Below are 21164 nucleotides of genomic sequence, written 5' to 3'. Positions count from 1 at the left end.
ATGGTGTGCAGGGGAATGAGGGTTTAGTGAGTAGGAGTTCCAAATTTAGAAACCTCACTCTCTGTATCTTTTAGATATACAAATATTTACCATATATTACAGTTGCCTCTAGTGTTCAGTACAGTAACATGCTGCACAGGCTCATAGCCTAGGAGCAATAGGCTAGACCACATAGCTTATAGCTTAGGTGTGTCAAAGGCTCTACCATCTAGGTTTTTTGTTTTGTTTTGTTTTGTTTTGTTTTTGAGACGGAGTCTCCCTCTGTTGCCCAGGATGGAGTGCAGTGGCACGATCTGGGCTCACTGCAACCTCCACCACCAAGGCTCAAGTGATTCTCCTGCCTCAGCCTCCCGAGTAGCTGGGATTACAGGCGTGAGCCACCACGCCCAGCTAATTTTTTTGTATTTTTAGTAGACGAGGGGTTTCACCATGTTGGCCAGGCTGGTTTCAAACTCCTGACCTCAAGTGATCCACCCTCCTCGGCCTCCCAAAGTGCTGGGATTACAAGCCCATCTAGGTTTGTGTAGGTACACTCTATGATGCTTACACAATAAAATCACCAAATCACACACTTATCAAAATGTATCTCCACCATTAAGCTATGCCTGACTGTGTATCAAAATGGAAGAAGAAGCTGGGCACAGTGGCTCACGCCTGTAATCCCAGCACTTTGAGAGGCCAAGGCGGGTGGATCACAAGGTCAGGATTTCCAGTCCAAGCCTGGTTAACACGGTGAAGCCCCGTCTCTATTAAAAATACAAAAATTAGCCAGGCATGGTGGCAGGCACCTGTAATCCCAGCTACTCAGGAGTCTGAGGCAGGAGAATCACTTGAACCCAGGAGGCAGAGGTTTCAGTGAGCCAAGATCACACCACTGCACTCCGGCCTGGGCAACAGAGTAAAACCTCGTCAAAAAGAAAAAATAATAAAAATAAAAAAAAATGGAACAAGATACTCAGGGATGTATATTTAATTTTTTAAAAAATATTCTGCTCTCATTTTAATATGGCAGAACCGATTGCTTTCTAAGTGTGGCTTTTTTCCAGTAAAGGTTAATTATTAAGACCACTAGTCCTGGCCTGGGTCAATCCCAGTATGATCCTGGGCAAGTAAATTAAAGAAGATAACTTCTCTGTGCCTCAGTTTTTTTTTGTTTTGTTTTTTGTTTTTTCATTTACAAAATGGAGATAATTGTAGTAAATCAAATTTTTAGAGGTGATAGGTTTGTTCATTTCTTGAATGCGGTGATGGTCTCCCAAGTCACACATATGTAAAAACCCATCACTTTAAAGATATGCAGTACGTTGTATGACAAGAAATTGCTTTTAAAAGGAGCAAACTACCTTCCAGGGTTGTTGTGAGGCATAAATGGCAATCCACAGCACCACAGCAAGGATTATCATGTGCCCTCCAGAGACATACTCTCAGGTGGATGCGAGAAATATCCAGCTGTTGCAGCAACTTCATCCCACTCGAAATCCAGCTGAGTCACACTCACAGGTGGAATGGAGGGCTTCGAGAGGCCATGGGGCAAGGTGACCCTTCCTTATCATCTAATTACAGACCTTCTCAAGGTCTGTTCACTGAACACTTCGCTGTAGTGTTCACTTAGGTGTAAGTAGGCTATAGGACTGGACATTTGGATATTTCATCAGTTCAAATAGTCCTGGGCGTGCTTTAGTTTCTCATGCTTTTGAGCAGAGTTTTAAAATAAGCCCCATTTGCCCCTACAGATCTCCTGCCTGGTACAGAATATGTAGTGAGTGTCTCCAGTGTCTACGAACAACATGAGAGCACACCTCTTAGAGGAAGACAGAAAACAGGTGAGTGGTGTTGGCAGTATGACTATCCAGTAGCTTTTGCCTATCAATTCTGTATAACAAATGAAATGCTACTTCTAAAAATACATCTCCATTTTTTGTTGTCATGGTGTGTGTACCTTTGTCATCACAGTATGATTTTATCGCTGGTCTCAAAAACTAAAAGATACCTTACTCAACAATCACCTAGACTTTCAGTCACTAACAAATTAAGAAATTTGTTGTCTGTCCTTTTAAAAAACATTTTCTAAGAAGATCTTTGTTATTTAGATTTAGCAGACATTCCTTTTCATTAGGCAGCTCTGTCTAATGGCTGACCCAACACTCATTGTCATCTATTTGTCTTCCTTTACTAAGCCAGCAAGTTTACATTTTCTTTTTACTTAATAAAATATGCATTTACTAGAAGGAAGTTGAATTGAATCTCATAAATATTACATACTTAAATATGAATGCTTTTAATTTTTTCTTTCAAAAGGTACACTTTAGTGTATTCATTAATTTATTTATAGTCCACTTGCTTCCAAAAAGGACTTATGATATCTTAGTTTGGTTTCTTATTGAAAAGAACTAGTAAATGCTGTAACTGAAACAGAAATTTGCTGGAAGTCCCAGAGACTAAGTGATTTGAATTTGCAACAAACTCTGAATTTTTGTGCATTTTTGAAAAATGCATTTTTCAAAACTGTCAATTCACGAGGAATTATCAGCATTGTAATTTGTCTGGGATAATGTCTTTAGTTTCAGAAAGTTTTGTGTTTGGCATCATTACCACTCTGTTGACATATAAATTTCCTCTTGAGCTTAGGAGGCTTCTCTGAGAGTCAAACATTTACTTTGAGAGTGGGCAGATCTTGCTTTACTTGGAAGGATACACTTACAGGATAGAAACACAGAATACTTGAACACTGAAGAATTTGAAAATGTCAATTCTCAGAAGATCTTGAACACTTATCTCCAAATGTGACACAGAAACTTACTGTAATAACCCCTAAAATCTGCTTGAATTACTTAGCACAAGAAAAAAATGAATGCTTGAGCTGGCTATTTTGAATTGAGTCAATTTAAGATTTTAAAATTCATATGTAGCTTAGAATCAGTACATCTTACTCTTTGGTTTATGGCAAATCATGGTATTGATGAGACAGGAACGAAATGTTGGATGTACGTTAATTTCCCCTACACCTTCCTCACTTCCTAAACTGGTGGTGTCTTTTCTTTTTTTTTTCTCTTCCTCCCCCGGGTGGGAAAAACAGGTCTTGATTCCCCAACTGGCATTGACTTTTCTGATATTACTGCCAACTCTTTTACTGTGCACTGGATTGCTCCTCGAGCCACCATCACTGGCTACAGGATCCGCCATCATCCCGAGCACTTCAGTGGGAGACCTCGAGAAGATCGGGTGCCCCACTCTCGGAATTCCATCACCCTCACCAACCTCACTCCAGGCACAGAGTATGTGGTCAGCATCGTTGCTCTTAATGGCAGAGAGGAAAGTCCCTTATTGATTGGCCAACAATCAACAGGTAACTTTTCTTGTCTGCAAAGAAACTCAGAAGACTTTCCTACCCAGTTGGTAGATTCTGTAAAGTAGCTTGCTGTTGTCTGTCATCAGCTCTCAAAAAAAAAAAAAAAAAAAAAAAAAATAGATCATTGTCATGGTACATGGAGAGGGAAGTGAGAAAATGTGGAGAAACATCTTCCTTAGAATATGGTAAAGAAGCCCGGGCGTGGTGGCAGTAAAGAAGATAATTTTTTTCCTCTCAAGAAATTTCTCACCTGATTTGGGTATTTATGCATTTCTAATAACACAAGTTTTGTTGAAAATGTAGAAAATTGGCCGGACGGGGTGGCTCACGTCAGTAATCTCAGCACTTTGGGAGGCCGAAATGGGCAGATCACTTGAGGTCAGAAGTTCAAGACCAGCCTGGCCAACATAGTGAAACCCCATCTCTACTAAATATACAAAAATTAGCAAGGTGTGGTGGCATGCACCTGTAATCCCAGCTACTGGGGAGGCTGAGGCAGGAGAATCTTTGAACCTGGGAGGCGAAGGTTGCAGTGAGCTGAGATCAGGCCATTGCACTCCAACCTGGGTGACAGAGCAAGACCCTGTCTCAAAAAAAAAAAAAAAAAAAGGGCCAGGCGCAATGGCTCACGCTTGTAATCCCAGCACTTTGGGAGGCCAAGGCGGGTGGATCACGAGGTCAAGAGATCGAGACCATCCTGGCCAACATGATGAAACCTCGTCTCTACTAAAAATACAAAAATTAGCTGGGCGTGGTGGCATGCACCTGTAGTCCCAGCTACTCAGGAGGCTGAGGCAGGAGAATTGCTTGAACCCAGGAGGCGGAGGTTGCAGTAAGCCAAGATTGTGTCACTGCACTCCAGCCTGGTGACAGAGGGAGACTCTGTCTCAAAAAAAAAAAAAAAAAAGGTGGAAAACTGAACACTGTTTCAAAGTACCTTTAAAAATATAATTTTAGGGTAATAGTGTCATTGTTCTTAGCAGATAGAGGCTGAAGTACTTACGGGAACAGTAGCATCATGTTATCTGTATTTTAGTCTCAAGTCGTCAAGCCAGAGACAAATACCTAAGGGAAGGGTATATAGGTGTTCATTGTATTACTTTTTTTTTTTTTTTTTTCTTCCTGAAATGGAGTCTTGCTCTGTCGCCCAGGCTGGAGTGCAATGGTGGGATCTTGGCTCACTGCAACCTCTGCCTCCCAGGCTCGAGCAATTCTCTTGCCTCAGCCTCCCAAGTAGCTGGGACTACAGGTGCCCGCCACCACGCCCGGCTAATTTTTGTATTTTTAGTAGAGATGGGATTTTACCATGTTGGCCAGGCTGGTTTTGAACTCCTGACCTCAAATGATCCACCCGCCTCGGCCTCCCAAAGTGCTGGGATTACAGGCGTGAGCCACCACGCCCGGCCTTGTATCACTTTTTTTTTTTTTTTTTTTTTTAACTTTTCTGTAGTTTTGAAATTTTTCCAAATAAAATGTTGAGGGAAAAAAACTCTTCCCCAAATTTGAAATAATCATTTTATCACAATTTGAATGGGCTCTGTAACCCCTTATCTTGAATTCGTCATAATATAAAATTCTGCTAATTACACGTAGTATTTACATGATTGTATGGAAGAATCATTAAGACAATTATCTGGAAAATGAACAAACAGTAAATCTGAATATTGTTTGAAAATTACGGATGTGAAAAGTTTCCCTTTTTTTTCTAGTTTCTGATGTTCCGAGGGACCTGGAAGTTGTTGCTGCGACCCCCACCAGCCTACTGATCAGCTGGGATGCTCCTGCTGTCACAGTGAGATATTACAGGATCACTTACGGAGAGACAGGTACAGCAGTAAAATGCTATTTTACACTCTGATTAAATCAGATTCTGTTGTGGATAACCTGAAAGCCCAACAGTGAACAAAGAATTAAAGAAACTTTGGCAAGTCCATTCAACGGAGCCCTTGTTTTTTCCAAGAAAATACGTAAGATATAGATGATATAATTTGTTCTAAAACCCAAATAAAAAGTTGTTTATATACTACAACTAGAGGGGGAACGGCAGAGCTGAGGAAATAAAAGGATTGTAAATTCACAAACATATTATCAGTGGTGGAAATAAGTGATTTTTATTTTTTCTTCTCTTTACTTTTCTGTATTTTCCAAATTTTATTTAAAAGGAATGTATTCTGTTAAAAGTTTTAAAAAGGACACAATGCATGCAATCCTGGGTTGAGGGCTTACCTTCTCCCACTTCTAATGCTACTCTACTACTCAGTGACATTTTAAAGCTGAAATGTTAAAACAGCGCTAACTGTAATTTTCTCTCAATGTTTATACACTTACCAAGGTTTGCTACATGCATAAATACCCCTTTCTGTTCAAGATAGCGCTCTTTAAAAGGGAATAAGCAAGAAGATGTGATTTACATGCTGCTATAAATGTGGTAATTCAATTAATCAGTAATACCCAAGTAGCTCTAAACCCCTCACACTCTGAACTAACCCTTTTTCATACAGGAGGAAATAGCCCTGTCCAGGAGTTCACTGTGCCTGGGAGCAAGTCTACAGCTACCATCAGCGGCCTTAAACCTGGAGTTGATTATACCATCACTGTGTATGCTGTCACTGGCCGTGGAGACAGCCCCGCAAGCAGCAAGCCAATTTCCATTAATTACCGAACAGGTACAAACTTCTACTCTGGGGTGACACCAGCTTTTACTTATTCAGATACTGTTTTGCAATGTTCTCCCAAGGTATTTTTCTAATTGTAGAATAGATTTTCCTTTTTAATGAGCAACAACCTGCAGCTAGCACCTGCAGCGAACAGAGTTTTGAGCCAGATAAAGAAGGAAGCACCCCAAGGGCAGGAAGTTCAGTCAGTTTTGTCGATATATTCCGCATGTCTGCAATACGACAGGCATAGAGAGTGTTCAGTAAGTATTTGTGGGAAAAGAATGGATGAGTTGATAAAGTAGGAAGAGACACCTGCTTGTGGAATGTAGCTTCTTTGTGAATGAAGCAACCATCTCAAAAATAGGAAATGGTATTGAGATGCCTGCCCCATCCCTCTAAAAGCTCTCTCTGTATTCTTTCGAGAAGAAATACCTTTCTCATGTAAGCGATCATTCGAATATGTACCAGACCTAGAGAGGAGGACTTGTCCAATCTTGTCTCCAAGGACTGGGGCTTCACTGGTTTCTCCCTGCTTTTATTTGTAGAAATTGACAAACCATCCCAGATGCAAGTGACCGATGTTCAGGACAACAGCATTAGTGTCAAGTGGCTGCCTTCAAGTTCCCCTGTTACTGGTTACAGAGTAACCACCACTCCCAAAAATGGACCAGGACCAACAAAAACTAAAACTGCAGGTCCAGGTAAGAATCATCTGCATCTCGGCCAGGTGCGGTGGCTCACTCCTATAATCCCAGAACTTTGGGAGGCTGATGCGGGCAGATCACTTGAGGTTAGGAGTTCGAGACCAGCCTGGCCAATATGGCGAAACCCCGTCTGTACTAAAAAATACAAAAAAATTAGCTGGGCATGGTGGCTTGTGCCTGTAATCCCAGCTACTCAGGAGGCTGAGGCAGGAGAATGGCTTGAAGTCTGGAGGCAGAGGTTGCAGTGAGCCAAGATAGCCCCACTGCACTCCAGCCTGGGTGACAGAGTGAGAGACTCCATCTCAGGGAAAAAAAAAAAAAAAGAGTAATCTGCATCTCATATACAACAGGATAGATGGGGTAGGACCACCTAATATTCTTTTTTATATAAATGGCTACCTTGTTGTGAGTACTATGTATTTTTTTGTCCTATGTCATCATTGTCCCCATTCATGAGTTCAGGGCTCAAGATCATTATCAACCCTTTTCACAGTAGAAGTCTTAAGTGCATTTCTGTTTTTACATGGATAGTTCTATTTAGTGATATGGACATCTTAAATTACTAGATTCACCCTTCTGGTTTTGTTTATCATTCACACTAAGAAGAGATAAATGGCCTAACTGACTTTTTCAGCTCTTTTTAGCTATGTTGTCTTTGTTTTTAAATAGAATACTTGTGAAATTAGGATCTTAAGGCAATTTATTAGAGTCAAGTTAATTTTCATTTTTTCTGAGAGCAGTATCACTAATTGTTGGGGGCATCATATTAAGTTTTAGATCTTATCCTTGAGTGTGACTTCACTCCCATATGGTAATTTGTATTAGCAATGAACAGGTTTGTCCAAGAGGAAATCAAAGTCTGACTCTCCATATTTTTGTTACAATTCTGCAAATAAAAATTCTAGGCCACCATATGTTTACTACCAAACTCTAGACGCCACTTGAGGACTTTATAGTGGATGACGTGGATGTTGCATTTGCTTTTCACTCCCTTTGCAGATCAAACAGAAATGACTATTGAAGGCTTGCAGCCCACAGTGGAGTATGTGGTTAGTGTCTATGCTCAGAATCCAAGCGGAGAGAGTCAGCCTCTGGTTCAGACTGCAGTAACCAGTACGTAACCACTGCTTGGTTTCCATTTTCAAAGTCAAATTTTGTTCTTGGGTGTCTGAATGCCCACGACATGTCTTTTGCAATTACACATAGGGAAAGTGAACTTGTTGGTTAGTTTATGTCTTGAGCTGAGCCCTTTACGAACATCTTTTTTCCTTCTCAGTGCCAAGCGAGGAATTTACAGAGAAAGAAGTTGTGAAACCACCATAGTTAGTTGCTGTGCTTTGAATTTCTTTTGCTCAAATGGCCTCAGCGAAATCTTATTTGCCTATAGCAAATCTACAAAAAATTTTCCTAGACCGTCTTTTCTACAACTGGATGGTAAAGTTGATTGAAGTGTGCCTCATGTAGCTTTATGTTTGGGGCATTTGAAGGGCTATGGCTGGACCAGAGTGTAATATAAATGCTTAATAGAGAGGGGAAAAGAAGAGTGTAAGAACCATTATAGGGCTGGGCTCACGCCTGTAATCCCAGCATTTTGGGAGGCTGAGGCAGGCGGATCACGAGGTCAGGAGTTCGAGACCAGCCTGACCAACATGGTGAAACCCCATCTCTACTAAAAATACAAAAATTAGCCAGTCGCGGTGGCACGTGCCTGTAATCCCAGCTACTCAGGAGGCTGAGGCAGAAGAATCACTTGGACCCAGGAGGCAGAAGTTGCAGTGAGCCAAGATCATGCCTCTGCACCCCAGCCTAGGTGATAGAGTGAGACTCCATCTCAAAAAAAAACAAAACAAAACAATTATAACAATTTGAATCTGACATTGCAAATCAGCTTTACCACTTCCAAGGTATAGAAAATCCAGGTCTATGAGACTAACATCACATTGTAAAAATCAAATCGTGGTAGAATATCTTTAAATTAATATAAATACATCCCCATTGTGGGGACATTTTGCAGGGTATCTGCTTATCTCACATACACCTATGTTTTAATAAGTGATGCAACATTGCATATTTTCTAAACCAAGAAAAATTAAGCAAGTGTTTAAGTGATTTTTCCTTTTGATAGTGGGTTAATTGGACTTCATCAAAGAAAATGGTATCTGCAAAACTGCTTTGCATGTTATAAAAATGCTTATTTCACAACTTGCTTTTCACATAACCTCTTACCATTAATTTGCCTAACAGACATTGATCGCCCTAAAGGACTGGCATTCACTGATGTGGATGTCGATTCCATCAAAATTGCTTGGGAAAGCCCACAGGGGCAAGTTTCCAGGTACAGGGTGACCTACTCGAGCCCTGAGGATGGAATCCATGAGCTATTCCCTGCACCTGATGGTGAAGAAGACACTGCAGAGCTGCAAGGCCTCAGACCGGGTTCTGAGTACACAGTCAGTGTGGTTGCCTTGCACGATGATATGGAGAGCCAGCCCCTGATTGGAACCCAGTCCACAGGTATATGGTTAATTGCACCACCAGGTGCCCATGGGAGCAGCGGCTTTATGCCCTACTGAATGAATTATGCTTCACTGGGCTATTGATTCCCGTGTAAGGGTGAAAAAGAATTATTAGGAAAGATCCTCTTTAAAGAGGAATGGTAAGAAACAATAAAACTTAGGTGATATTTAAGGAAACAAGTCTGATTAAAAGAAATTTTGGAGTATCCTGGCTTATACACAAGACCATAAAGCAAGACATTTGAAGAGGATACTAAAGTTGTGGATTATTTCCTAAGCTCTGACTCCCTGTGATTACCCTCACTATGTATAAAGAAAAGAAGTTTGGCATTACAGAGCTTACTTATAAAAAGGAACCCAAACTCGGGCATTTCATAGCAGCATGATTCTGAGCACACGTGGGTAAGACCTTTCTTCTCTGGTTAGATATCATATGCTGGTGTATAATTAGCTTAAATGATTGTGATTTAGACACCTAGGAAATAATCAATAGGGCAATTGCTTTCCATAATACTTTATCTTCTTGTGCTTTATTTCTGAAGCAGAGTAGAATGCTAAAGATGTATCCTAGTGACAGCATAAACCCTAGAGGTGACAGTCTGTATTATTGCTTTTCGCTTCTCTTTTCTGCTTCTGTTGGGAGCCAGTTTTCTTCTTACGCCGCATTACAGAGAGAACGTCAAATTTAGCAGCCATATCTGCCATAGGGTCCAAATAAAGAGACAATAAAAACATTATTCTCTCTTTTTTGGATGGAATACTGCGTGAAATGGTTATCCATACAAAGATACTTTATGTAGAATAGAAAAAGGAGGCCGGGTGCAGTGGCTCACACATGTAATCCTAGTGCTTTGGGAGGCTAAGCCGGGAGCACTGATTGAGGCCAGGAGTTCATGATCAGCCTGGGCAATGAAGTGAGACCCCGTCTCTACAAAAAAATATGAAAAAATTAGCGAGGTGTGGTGACACATGCCTGTAGTCCCAGCTACTCAAGAGGCTGAGGTAGAGGATCACTTGAGCCTACGAGTTCAAGGCTGCAGTGAGCTATGATAACTCCACTGCACTGCCGCCTGGATGACACAGAGAGACCGTTTCTAAATTAATTAATTAACAATTTTAAGAAAGAAAAAGGGCCATTGCTTATTTTTCCATACAAAAGTAAAATAAATCATAATGGCCAATAAGCCAATGTAACTTTTTTTTTTAAGGGAAAGCAAAACTTGTAAAACCTAAAATCTCTTAGAGTTTTGGCATTTACCCAAATGTTTTCAGTGATTCTGAGAATTGGTGGATATAAAACACATTTCTCAGCAAACACTTTCTTCATTTTGCATCCCTTACTGTACGTACTTTCTTGTACTGAATCTTTGCTTGACCAGGGAACCCACCTAGCCCAACAAGAACAATCCATTCTACTTCTTGGAACTCACTTTATTTTCCTTTTCCCCCATTTCCTATAAGATAACCTCTAACCAATGACAATCTCGACAGCTATTCCTGCACCAACTGACCTGAAGTTCACTCAGGTCACACCCACAAGCCTGAGCGCCCAGTGGACACCACCCAATGTTCAGCTCACTGGATATCGAGTGCGGGTGACCCCCAAGGAGAAGACCGGACCAATGAAAGAAATCAACCTTGCTCCTGACAGCTCATCCGTGGTTGTATCAGGACTTATGGTAAGACATGACCGTTGTTCATTGGAATAAAGATGGAGATCATCTCTAACACAGTTTCTAAGGTGGTGAAAATATAATATCATAATAAATCTAACTGTTCTTTTCCTCTGCATCAAATAATCTTATTGTAATTTTATATCAACGGAATTCCTTTATGTTGACCTAAGTTTTCCAGATGACTATTGGGACAGAATTTTATAAATAGCTTTGGATTTTGTGCAGCTCTTTTAGATGTATTGTGCTTATTTTAAAAGGTTGTGGGGGGCAATTTACATATCCATTGGTTGAATGCATAAATCGACTTAGTTATGCATTTTCTGAGCTCTGTTACCTTGGTAAAGAATATTTTACAGTTTGTACCAGTCTACCTTGAGCCTACCCTCATTAAAACATTTTAAAATCCTTCCAGACATACATGCAGAAAACTGCTAGGAACCTAGGGGACTGATGTACCTCTTAACATAAGGCCAATTTCAGGGGAAACTACAGAAAGAGGGTTCAGAGACAAAATGGAACATTCTCTTTGCCTCTCTATGATAAGGAAAAAATTATGATTTACACCTGTCAGATCATAAAAAAGAAAAATACGCTAATACCCACTTTTCTCATTTTTTTTACCAGCTTAGTTTAAGTATATAATCTATGGCTTACTTAAGCTTAACCGCTAAGAGCATTTTAAAATTGATAAATACATTTATCACCTGCACTGTAGGAATGAAATTAATCTAGGAATTTTCAAGGTTGTGGGTTTTGCTGGTTTGTTTATTTTTTATTTTCTAACCATTGCATTTACCTAATGCTGTAGTGAAACTCCTTGGGTTTCAGTTGAGGACGTTGCTAAAGCTCACCATGCCCTTATTTCTCTAGGTGGCCACCAAATATGAAGTGAGTGTCTATGCTCTTAAGGACACTTTGACAAGCAGACCAGCTCAGGGAGTTGTCACCACTCTGGAGAGTAAGTAACAAAATGTCTTCATATGGACAAACCTTCTGTATAGACAAAAATTAAAGAATGGTAAATCAGTGGGGTTCAGTGGCTCATGTCTAAAATCCAAGCACTTTGGGAAGCTGAGGCGGGAGCGTCACTTGAGGCCAGGAGTTTGAGACCTACCCGGGCAAATAGCAAGGCCCTGTCTCTTAAAAAAAATAAAATAAATAAAATAAATAATTTTTTAGATTTATATGTTAACAGTGGAATGAGTCCTAATTTGAAAATCAATTTGATTGCCTTTTTGACGCATGACTGTCATCTTTTATACTCCTTCAGAAAGGGGTCTACTGACCCATAAAATGGAATCACTTCATAAGCTTATAATGTTGATATTATGGACTATGACTGACATCTAGTTTATGCTCTACTTGTTAGAATTTGTTTTCATAGAGCTAAGCTTGGGGAGACCCCACTGGCTTCTGCTATATCTTAACAATGCATATTAGGCCATTCTTGCATTACTATAAAGAAATACCGGAGACTGGGTAATTTCTAAAGAAAAGAGGCTTAATTGGCCCACAGGCCAGCAGGCTTTACAGGAAGCATGGTGCTGGTATCTTCTTGGCTTCTAGGGAGGCCTTGGGAAGCTTACTCATGGTGGAAGGCCAAGGGGGAGCAGGCACATCACATGGCTGTGGCAAAAGCAAGACCGAGAGAGAGAGAGAGTTGGGGGGGGAGGACCTTATACATTTAAATGACCCAGTCTCTTGAGAACTCACTGTCATAAAGAGGGCACCAAGCCACAAGGGATCTGCCCCCATGATCCAAACACCTCTCACCAGGCCCCACCTCCAGCATTGGAGATTACAACTCAACAGAGATTTGGACAGGGACAAATATCCAAATTATATCACAGCACAGTAACCATTGGACCAAATCAGGCTTAGATTCTAGTCTTCTGTTATATCAATACCTTGATGTATGCCTTTTCAAAAGTCAGGTAAAGTGTCAAAGTTTTATCATTTATAAAAGAGGGATGGCATTGTACCTGTTGAGAGAAAATACAAAATACTTGCCGTAATATTAGACACACACACACACACACACACACACACACTCTCTCTCTCTCTCACACACACATACACACACACACACACAAAATTGTTAGCTGGCCATGTTATTGTAACTCCTACCACACATATTTTTACATTATAATACATTAATAATTTTAATATTTATTGAAGTATTTGTAGATACTATAAAGCCAGCCCTGGGAACCACTGGTAGTATCTATAAAGCTTTTCAGCTCTTCAAAATAAAATGTCTGAGAGGTAGATATTTTCCTATTTTCTAATTACAGTTGACCTTTCTCTCTGAATGCCAAAGGAGATAATCTACACATTACTAGTTATATATTTCTTGAAATGGATGAATTTGATATATACCAAGGAAACGTTTTAAAATACCAAAACTTTACATGGATGAGCCAAGCAGGCACTAATCTCTAGCTATGCTCCTGTGCAGATGTCAGCCCACCAAGAAGGGCTCGTGTGACAGATGCTACTGAGACCACCATCACCATTAGCTGGAGAACCAAGACTGAGACGATCACTGGCTTCCAAGTTGATGCCGTTCCAGCCAATGGCCAGACTCCAATCCAGAGAACCATCAAGCCAGATGTCAGAAGCTACACCATCACAGGTCAGGGAACTCATTGCACTAACCACATTTGTTAACAAATACCCACAATGTAAACGGGCTTATTAACTGTTCTACGACTGACACTGATAAAATTTATTTTCAGTGTTATCATCATAACCCAGTTTTAGAACGTTATTTTCATGCTATGATCAGAAATAGTTTTGTCCTTTGAATGCCTGATTTTGTGTAATATTTGTCATGGAAATTGCGTAAGTGTCAATCAACAAGTTTGATCTTCCATCATTGTGCCCTTTCTTATTTAAAAAATTGTAACATAAGGTTTAAAACTAAAAGAAATAAAAAACAGTGATGTATAGATCTTAGCATTAAAAAGCATAGTTAATATAAAAGTAAACAATACCACTTAATAAAGGCCAAAATTGTAACCGAAGAATATTCAATATCTGAGGTCTTTTTTAGCTTTTTAAAATTGTGATTCCAAGGCTCAACTATTGACCATCTGATTACGGTAAAGAGAAAACCTCAATAAGTGGCTGACCCCCATTCTGCAAGAGGGCCTCTTCCAACATAGCATTTTTGCATTCCAGAATTTACTTTACCAGTGTCCTTGTCTGTATCAGTGATTCACTTTCGAGATATGTTTCTTGTTAACAGTTAACATCCATAGCATGCTCTACTTTACTGTTCAAATGTGGACCACTTTGGTAGTCTATATAAATATGGGATGATAGAAGAACCCAGAAAAATTGCAGGCTAGCTTGAGAATTCTCCTAGTAAAAAGCAAGAACTGTTAAAAATCATCTCTTCTCAAATCCCAGGTTTACAACCAGGCACTGACTACAAGATCTACCTGTACACCTTGAATGACAATGCTCGGAGCTCCCCTGTGGTCATCGACGCCTCCACTGGTAACTATACCTTCTACTGAGGAAATGCCATTGACTTGTATGCAATCAGTTTCATGAACTCAAAAAACAAATGTGAGGCGTATATTTTTGTATTATAGATTCCAGAGAATCTTGTTTCCGGTTTACAGTATTCTCAGATTCTTTTAAGTGTGTTTAGAACGGCTCGGGAGAAAAGTGTGGGAGTAATTTTCTTGGTTATTTGCCTTCTTAGAGACTTAATTTTGTTTTCTTTCAGCCATTGATGCACCATCCAACCTGCGTTTCCTGGCCACCACACCCAATTCCTTGCTGGTATCATGGCAGCCGCCACGTGCCAGGATTACCGGCTACATCATCAAGTATGAGAAGCCTGGGTCTCCTCCCAGAGAAGTGGTCCCTCGGCCCCGCCCTGGTGTCACAGAGGCTACTATTACTGGTATTGCTGCTTCCATGCTGTCATTTTCCTTCTTACTACCTAGGACACATGAAGTCCTTAGCAAACTCCCACAGCGTCTTTGATACTGTGTCATGAGAATGCGAAACTCTGTTCCTGATAACCTCAAAAAGCATTCTCTGTGTAGGAGTGGTAGAGCCTAATACATCCCAAAAGGCATGAGTGAAGGAAAATGCAATTTCAAGACTGTACTAATGGCATGACTAGACTCATGTTTTCCTTTCGCTGCAAGTTTGCCAGATACCTGTCAATTCAGTCCTGGAGAAAGATATTTTTCAAAGCATACTAGCTGATTGTGATTCTGTCATTACACTCAGCTCTCTATAGATATGGCAATCTTGCAGGACTTGCCAGTGCACCACCTGCCATTGACCTTGTTGACCACTATCACAGGATAGGTCTTGAGGCAGAGCAGTCCCAACCACCCACATTGGAAGAATGCCTGGAATGGGGAATAAGAGTTGTCTACCTTGGTGGGAAAGACTATAAGCCTCTAGTATTATTTTTGCCCAAGAGATGAAATATTTAAACTATCTGTATTAGTCTGTTTTCATACTGCTATAAAGAGGTTTAATTGACTCACAGTTCCGCATGGCTGGGGAGGCCTCAGAAAATGTACAATCATGGTGGAAGGAAAAGCAGGCATGTCTTACATGGCAGCAGGAGAGAGAAGCACACAGGAGGAACTTCCAGATACTTACAAAACTATCAGATCTTGTGAGAACTCACTATCATGAGAACAGCCTGGGGGAACCACCCCATGATCCAATCACCTCCTCTCCTCAATACATGGGGATTACAATTCCAGATGAGATTTGGATGCAGACACAGAGCCAAACCATATCAGTCTGTATAGAGTATCACCTGGACTTTAAAATTCCCACAGAACATACAGACATTAGAAGGAGACACTGGCTTTTTAGAATTGGGGGGAACAGGAAAATAGAAGCAGACATGAGAGGAATTGAACTAGACACTTCCCACAGAGGCTGCACAAACACTGGCCAATCTCTCCTACCCTTCACTTGCCTTTAGTTTCACTTTTCATTGATCTGCCACTGAGGACTGCTTGGTTATTAGGCCTAAGTAGATTCATGTATATAATCTGCAGGACTCTCTTTCAAATTTATATTCCAGTGGTGGTATATGATGCTGATAGATTTTCTTAAATTCAAAAAGGCAAATAAGACCACGTTAAAAGAATACCCTGGAAAGGCCAGGCGCGGTGGCTCACGCCTGTAATCCCAGCACTTTGGGAGGCCGAGGCAGGCAGATCACAAGGTCAGGAGATCGAGACCATCCTGGCTAACACGGTGAAACCCCATCTCTACTAAAAATACAAAAACAAAATTAGCCAGGCGTGGTGATGGGTGCCTGTAGTCCCAGCTACTCGGGTGGCTGAGGCAGGAGAATGGCTGAACCTGGGAAGCGGAGCTTGCAGTGAGCCGAGATAGCACCACTGCACTCCAGCCTGGGTGACAGAGCCAGACTCCATCTCAAAAAAAAAAAAAAAAAAAAAAAAAAGAATACCCTGGAAAAGTTAGCCAAAAAATGTCTATTCAGGCGTCAGATATGATAGTAAGATAATTAGTTTGCGATGCGGACTTTATATGCAGGATATTTGGGTGTTTATGGAGGAAAAGTGAAGTCGATTTTACCTTCAAGAGGCCAACAGCCAGCTGGAGAGGAAGTGCCTGCTCCCAGTAGCGTCTGCTGGTGAGACCGACTTCCACTTGACTAGCTGAGCCCATTGACATAATGTGATGGTTCTATTCTCCCTTCAGGCCTGGAACCGGGAACCGAATATACAATTTATGTCATTGCCCTGAAGAATAATCAGAAGAGCGAGCCCCTGATTGGAAGGAAAAAGACAGGTAAGAGTATCTTGCAGGTAACAAGGAGAAAGATAGGACAAAACTAATAACAAATGAGCAATCTTGCAATATGAAAAGGTTCTCCATGTTTTGATGCATTTCTTGTGATTTTTTTTATCTAACAGCATAGTGTATATATTGTATTCTTTAATAGGAGAAATAATTTAACATGCACTGCAGAGTTTGGTTTTATTTTTTTTCTTTACTACAGCCACTCAATATAAAGCCTTGTTATTCACCTTTTAAAAATTCAAACAAGATGTTAAAATGTAAAAGAAGAGCTATCATTGCTCTTCTTTTATACCTTCTGTTGAATTTTAAAATGTTTCCTTTTTTAAAGGAGGGAGAGAAACCTCTCACATTTATCTTTATTTGGTTTCTACAACTTAGAGCTAAATAATGTCTTACTTTTGCATCCAGTTTCAGTTAATTTCAAGAAAATGTGTATTCCTGATATAGGAAAATTTCAAAAATGAACATGTGTGTTTTATCTATTTTTACCATTTCAAACCATGAAAAACTGTTGAGCCAAACCTCTGTAATTCTCATACTTATGACACTGATATGATTAGTCTGGATTCTACTTCCTACAACTTGCTTCTCAAATTTAAAAAAGAAAGAGAGAAAGAGAAAGACTGCACATTTCAGTTCCATTAGGTCTAATTTGAGCAGAGGCAGCTTCTACGGGGCTCAGCGGTTTAAAGCTGTGTGTATGATAAATTCATACTAACACTTTTTTCTTTCTAAACTATAAAGAAACCTTTGAGAAAAATCCTAAAGATTTCTTTCTGGAAAAAGTGTTTTGTGATCTCAGAACTGCTCATTTTCTGGTGGCTTTTATCAAATTGATGAACAGTCATTGTTGCCTGAATCGATTATTATCATTGCTGCTACTTCCTGGAGCTTAATGCGCTTTGCTTTTTTGGCTCTAACCTCTCTCGGCTAGACGAGCTTCCCCAACTGGTAACCCTTCCACACCCCAATCTTCATGGACCAGAGATCTTGGATGTTCCTTCCACAGTTCAAAAGACCCCTTTCGTCACCCACCCTGGGTATGACACTGGAAATGGTATTCAGCTTCCTGGCACTTCTGGTCAGCAACCCAGTGTTGGGCAACAAATGATCTTTGAGGAACATGGTTTTAGGCGGACCACACCGCCCACAACGGCCACCCCCATAAGGCATAGGCCAAGACCATACCCGCCGAATGTAGGTGAGGAAATCCAAATTGGTCACATCCCCAGGGAAGATGTAGACTATCACCTGTACCCACACGGTCCGGGACTCAATCCAAATGCCTCTACAGGACAAGAAGCTCTCTCTCAGACAACCATCTCATGGGCCCCATTCCAGGACACTTCTGAGTACATCATTTCATGTCATCCTGTTGGCACTGATGAAGAACCCTTACAGGTAATTAATTGTTCTCTTCACTTCTCATGGGGCAGCACAGAAAGGAATAAGTTAGGTAACTGAAGTGACCAGCCCTCGAATAAAAAGTGGCTTCATGGCCGGGTGTGATGGCTCACGCCTGTAATCCCAGCACTTTGGGAGGCCGAGGCAGGTGGATCATTTGAGGTTAGGAGTTCAAGACCAGCCTGGCCAACATGGTGAAACCTCGTCTCTTGAAAAAAAAAAAAAAAAAAAAGTGGCTCCACTTTTAGAACCTCTTAGAAGATGGCACATTTAAGCCCTGCTTTTTTTTTTTTTTAAATCCCAATATGGCTCTACTTTGGAGGACATACCAGAGAGTCACTAGCTTTTATTTCATAGAGAAAATGAAACTATTTCTCTTATTCTCACACATTTGAGGTTCCTTTTTGAGTAAGATAGATGATTCTAGAAAAGAAAGATATTCTACCTGAATTTCCATTTGTGTGCAGAAGTCTAAAACACTACCTTTACGATTTGTCCTTGAAGAACCCCACTATCTACAACATATCTAAAGAAAAAAAAAAACAGGCGAAGCTGTGCATAGCAGCTGATAAGTGATTGATTCTCTAAAACGTATATTATTTAATTTGTGTTGACAGTATCCATTTTTTTTTTTCCCCGAGATGGAGTCTTGCTCTATGGCCCTGGCTGGAGTGCAGTGGCGTGATCTCGGCTCACTGCAACCTCTGCCTCCCAGGTTCAAGCAATTCTCCTGCCTCAGCCTCCCAAATAGCTGGGATTACAGGCATGTGCCACCGCACCCAGCTAATTTTTGTATTTTTAGTAGAGACGGGGTTTCACGATGTTGGCCAGGATGGTCTCGATCTCCTGACCTCGTGATCCGCCCGCCTTGGCCTCCCAAAGTGCTGGGACTACAAGCATGAGCCACCCACTACACCCGGCCCACTGACAGTATCAATTTTTATTGTGTTGTTACTTTTAGAAAGTGGCAGAATTTAAAAACTGACAACACTGTAGGAAATTTATGAGCTTAGAAACATGAGTTTGAGGATTTGCCCAACTGTTTTAAGGACTCCACACTGGGGTCAGATGTCACCTGGAGGAGCATGACCGTGTCTCCCATATAGCGCAGTGTCCAGGTTTTATGTGAAGCAAACATGGCCAGGGCTTCCAGAGGGCTTATGCAGACCTGCGACTGAAGCAAGATCAATGGCAGGCCGTCTCTAGTATTGTCGAGGGCTCCTGTTAACTACGGAGCACGTAGGTAGATTGTTGGCAGGAAAATCTGGCAGGAACGATGGCCCCTATCCTTGTTCCATTTCTCTCCTCAGCTGGTTAGGACCACTATACCCTCCCTCTTTTTTTTTTTTTTGTTTTTTGTTTTTTGTCTTCCTTTGCTTTGTTTAAACAGTGAGGGTTATTGGTAAGAGGAGAGCCCGTGTCATTCCTCACTATAATGCTTTCTCTCTGCTTTGGATGTACCGATAATTGCAGTTCAGGGTTCCTGGAACTTCTACCAGTGCCACTCTGACAGGCCTCACCAGAGGTGCCACCTACAACGTCATAGTGGAGGCACTGAAAGACCAGCAGAGGCATAAGGTTCGGGAAGAGGTTGTTACCGTGGGCAACTCTGGTATGTAAACACGTACTATTTAGACACAGGCTCCCCTCTGCTGTACACCAGAGATGGGCTTTTCTGTTGACTGTACCTTTGTTGCCATTGTCTTTTTATCTTTGGGATTTAATGCAACACATCAACATGAAATAAATGAGCAACTTTATATTAAATTAATCTCTCCCCCACCTCCTGCCATATCCTGTTGTCTTCACAAAATGCATACGTAATTGACAGACTCTCAAATGGTGATATGATTATAGATCTGGAAGGGATTTCAAATATTATTTAGTACAACACTCTGAGTCCTTACTTCTGAGTATCTGAGTTGATATAGGGCACAGGTTTCCTGATGTCTTTTCCCAGACCCTCTCCATCTCACCATGCTGCTGTCCTCTTGAGTGATTAAATACTGAAACGATTACCTATAAAGAAAATACCCCTTCTGCAGACATGGGGACAGTTGGCTTTTGCTCCTGATATAAAATGCTACCAACATTGTGCATTTCTGTCTGCAGAGAATGTTATTCCAATGTTATTTCCATTTTTTTCCAATGTTATTTCCATTTTTTTTTCTGACTATACAGGTTAAAAGCTTCTATAGAGGTTAAAAGATCATTAACTCTTCTTTGTAGCACCTGGGAAATCCTTTTAAATCAATAGCGTGCCACCTGGCTGCTCAATTTGCAGCAGCTGAAAATTCACCAAGGCACATGAGATAGGGGATAATCAAAACCGTGAATCCCCAATCTTCCAACAGGAGAGTTCTCTACTCCACACCAACAGAGAGTGCTAAGTCCTGTCTATGCCAAGTGACAGATTTTATTCCTAAGGCCAGTTGTTTAATTTTAGCCCCTTCCCTCATCTGATAGAAGACTGTGCTACTTTACATGTATAAATTCCTGTGAATTAAGCAGTTGAGCATTTGGCTGGAGAGAGGTTGGGAGGAGATTATTTTGTGTTTGTTGTATTACATATCCACAGTAATGCTTATCTTTGCCTTTTGTGGTTTTACTAGTAGAATGCCACGTGAACAGAATTTTCAAGAGCAAAAAGGTCTTTGTGCTTTTCTAAGTCATTTTTTTTTTTTTTTTTTAAAGATTCCATCTCTTTAACTTTAGTTAGGATGGAATTTGAACTCCTGGCTCTTTTGAGTATAGAAACCCCTAGTAACAATTTAAGTTCCTTCCATTTTTCTTTTAAACTCCTTATTCCCAGCAGCAGTATTCTACATTCTAACCAGGTTCTCCCAGCTTTGAGACGTCTCAGACTTACCAGTTCTCCAAAACGCTATTTTCTTTAAGGGTGACACCTTTTAAAAATTAGGCACCTCAAATATCTACTGCTTTTGAGCTTTTGAGTTTTGCACTGTAAAAAGAAAAATACACAGTGGGATTTTAAGTCAAATTAGTTTATCTAATTTTTAGGGAATAATTTGAAG

The 21164-nt window shown here is 40.7% G+C and overlaps 1 protein-coding gene across 17 annotated transcripts in view, besides 1 other annotated feature; it reads left to right on the top strand.

The window, feature by feature from the left end:
• FN1 (fibronectin 1) overlaps positions 1–21164 on the top strand; it is a 75204-nt gene that overhangs the window by 46034 nt on the left and 8006 nt on the right. For 2 of the 17 annotated variants that reach the window (NM_002026.4, NM_001306129.2), the window contains 16 exons: positions 1734–1823; positions 3077–3346; positions 5059–5175; positions 5851–6015; positions 6552–6707; positions 7710–7823; positions 8955–9224; positions 10718–10905; positions 11773–11860; positions 13361–13537; positions 14317–14406; positions 14642–14821; positions 16624–16713; positions 17660–17926; positions 18020–18126; positions 19603–19741. In NM_002026.4, coding sequence (NP_002017.2) covers positions 1734–1823; positions 3077–3346; positions 5059–5175; positions 5851–6015; positions 6552–6707; positions 7710–7823; positions 8955–9224; positions 10718–10905; positions 11773–11860; positions 13361–13537; positions 14317–14406; positions 14642–14821; positions 16624–16713; positions 17660–17926; positions 18020–18126; positions 19603–19741 — 2508 coding nt within the window. Of the gene's footprint in view, positions 1–1733; positions 1824–3076; positions 3347–5058; positions 5176–5850; positions 6016–6551; positions 6708–7709; positions 7824–8954; positions 9225–10717; positions 10906–11772; positions 11861–13360; positions 13538–14316; positions 14407–14641; positions 14822–16623; positions 16714–17659; positions 18127–19602; positions 19742–21164 lie in introns of all 17 variants that reach the window. The other 15 variants (NM_001306132.2, NM_001365522.2, NM_001306131.2 and 12 more) reach the window with 9 other exon arrangements.
• Positions 13502–14701: an enhancer, noted in NCBI's record as "CDK7 strongly-dependent group 2 enhancer chr2:216240057-216241256 (GRCh37/hg19 assembly coordinates)". NCBI's record gives its function as "activates an origin of replication core promoter dependent on BRD2, BRD4, P300/CBP, MED14 and CDK7 cofactors, with strong dependence on CDK7, by STARR-seq in HCT116 cells {active_cell/tissue: HCT116}" and the evidence as "EXISTENCE:reporter gene assay evidence [ECO:0000049][PMID:35650434]".

The sequence above is a fragment of the Homo sapiens genome, chromosome 2 (genome assembly GCF_000001405.40).
Source record: "Homo sapiens chromosome 2, GRCh38.p14 Primary Assembly".
Taxonomy (NCBI): domain Eukaryota; kingdom Metazoa; phylum Chordata; class Mammalia; order Primates; family Hominidae; genus Homo; species Homo sapiens.
This window is presented reverse-complemented; position numbering and strand designations above follow the sequence as displayed.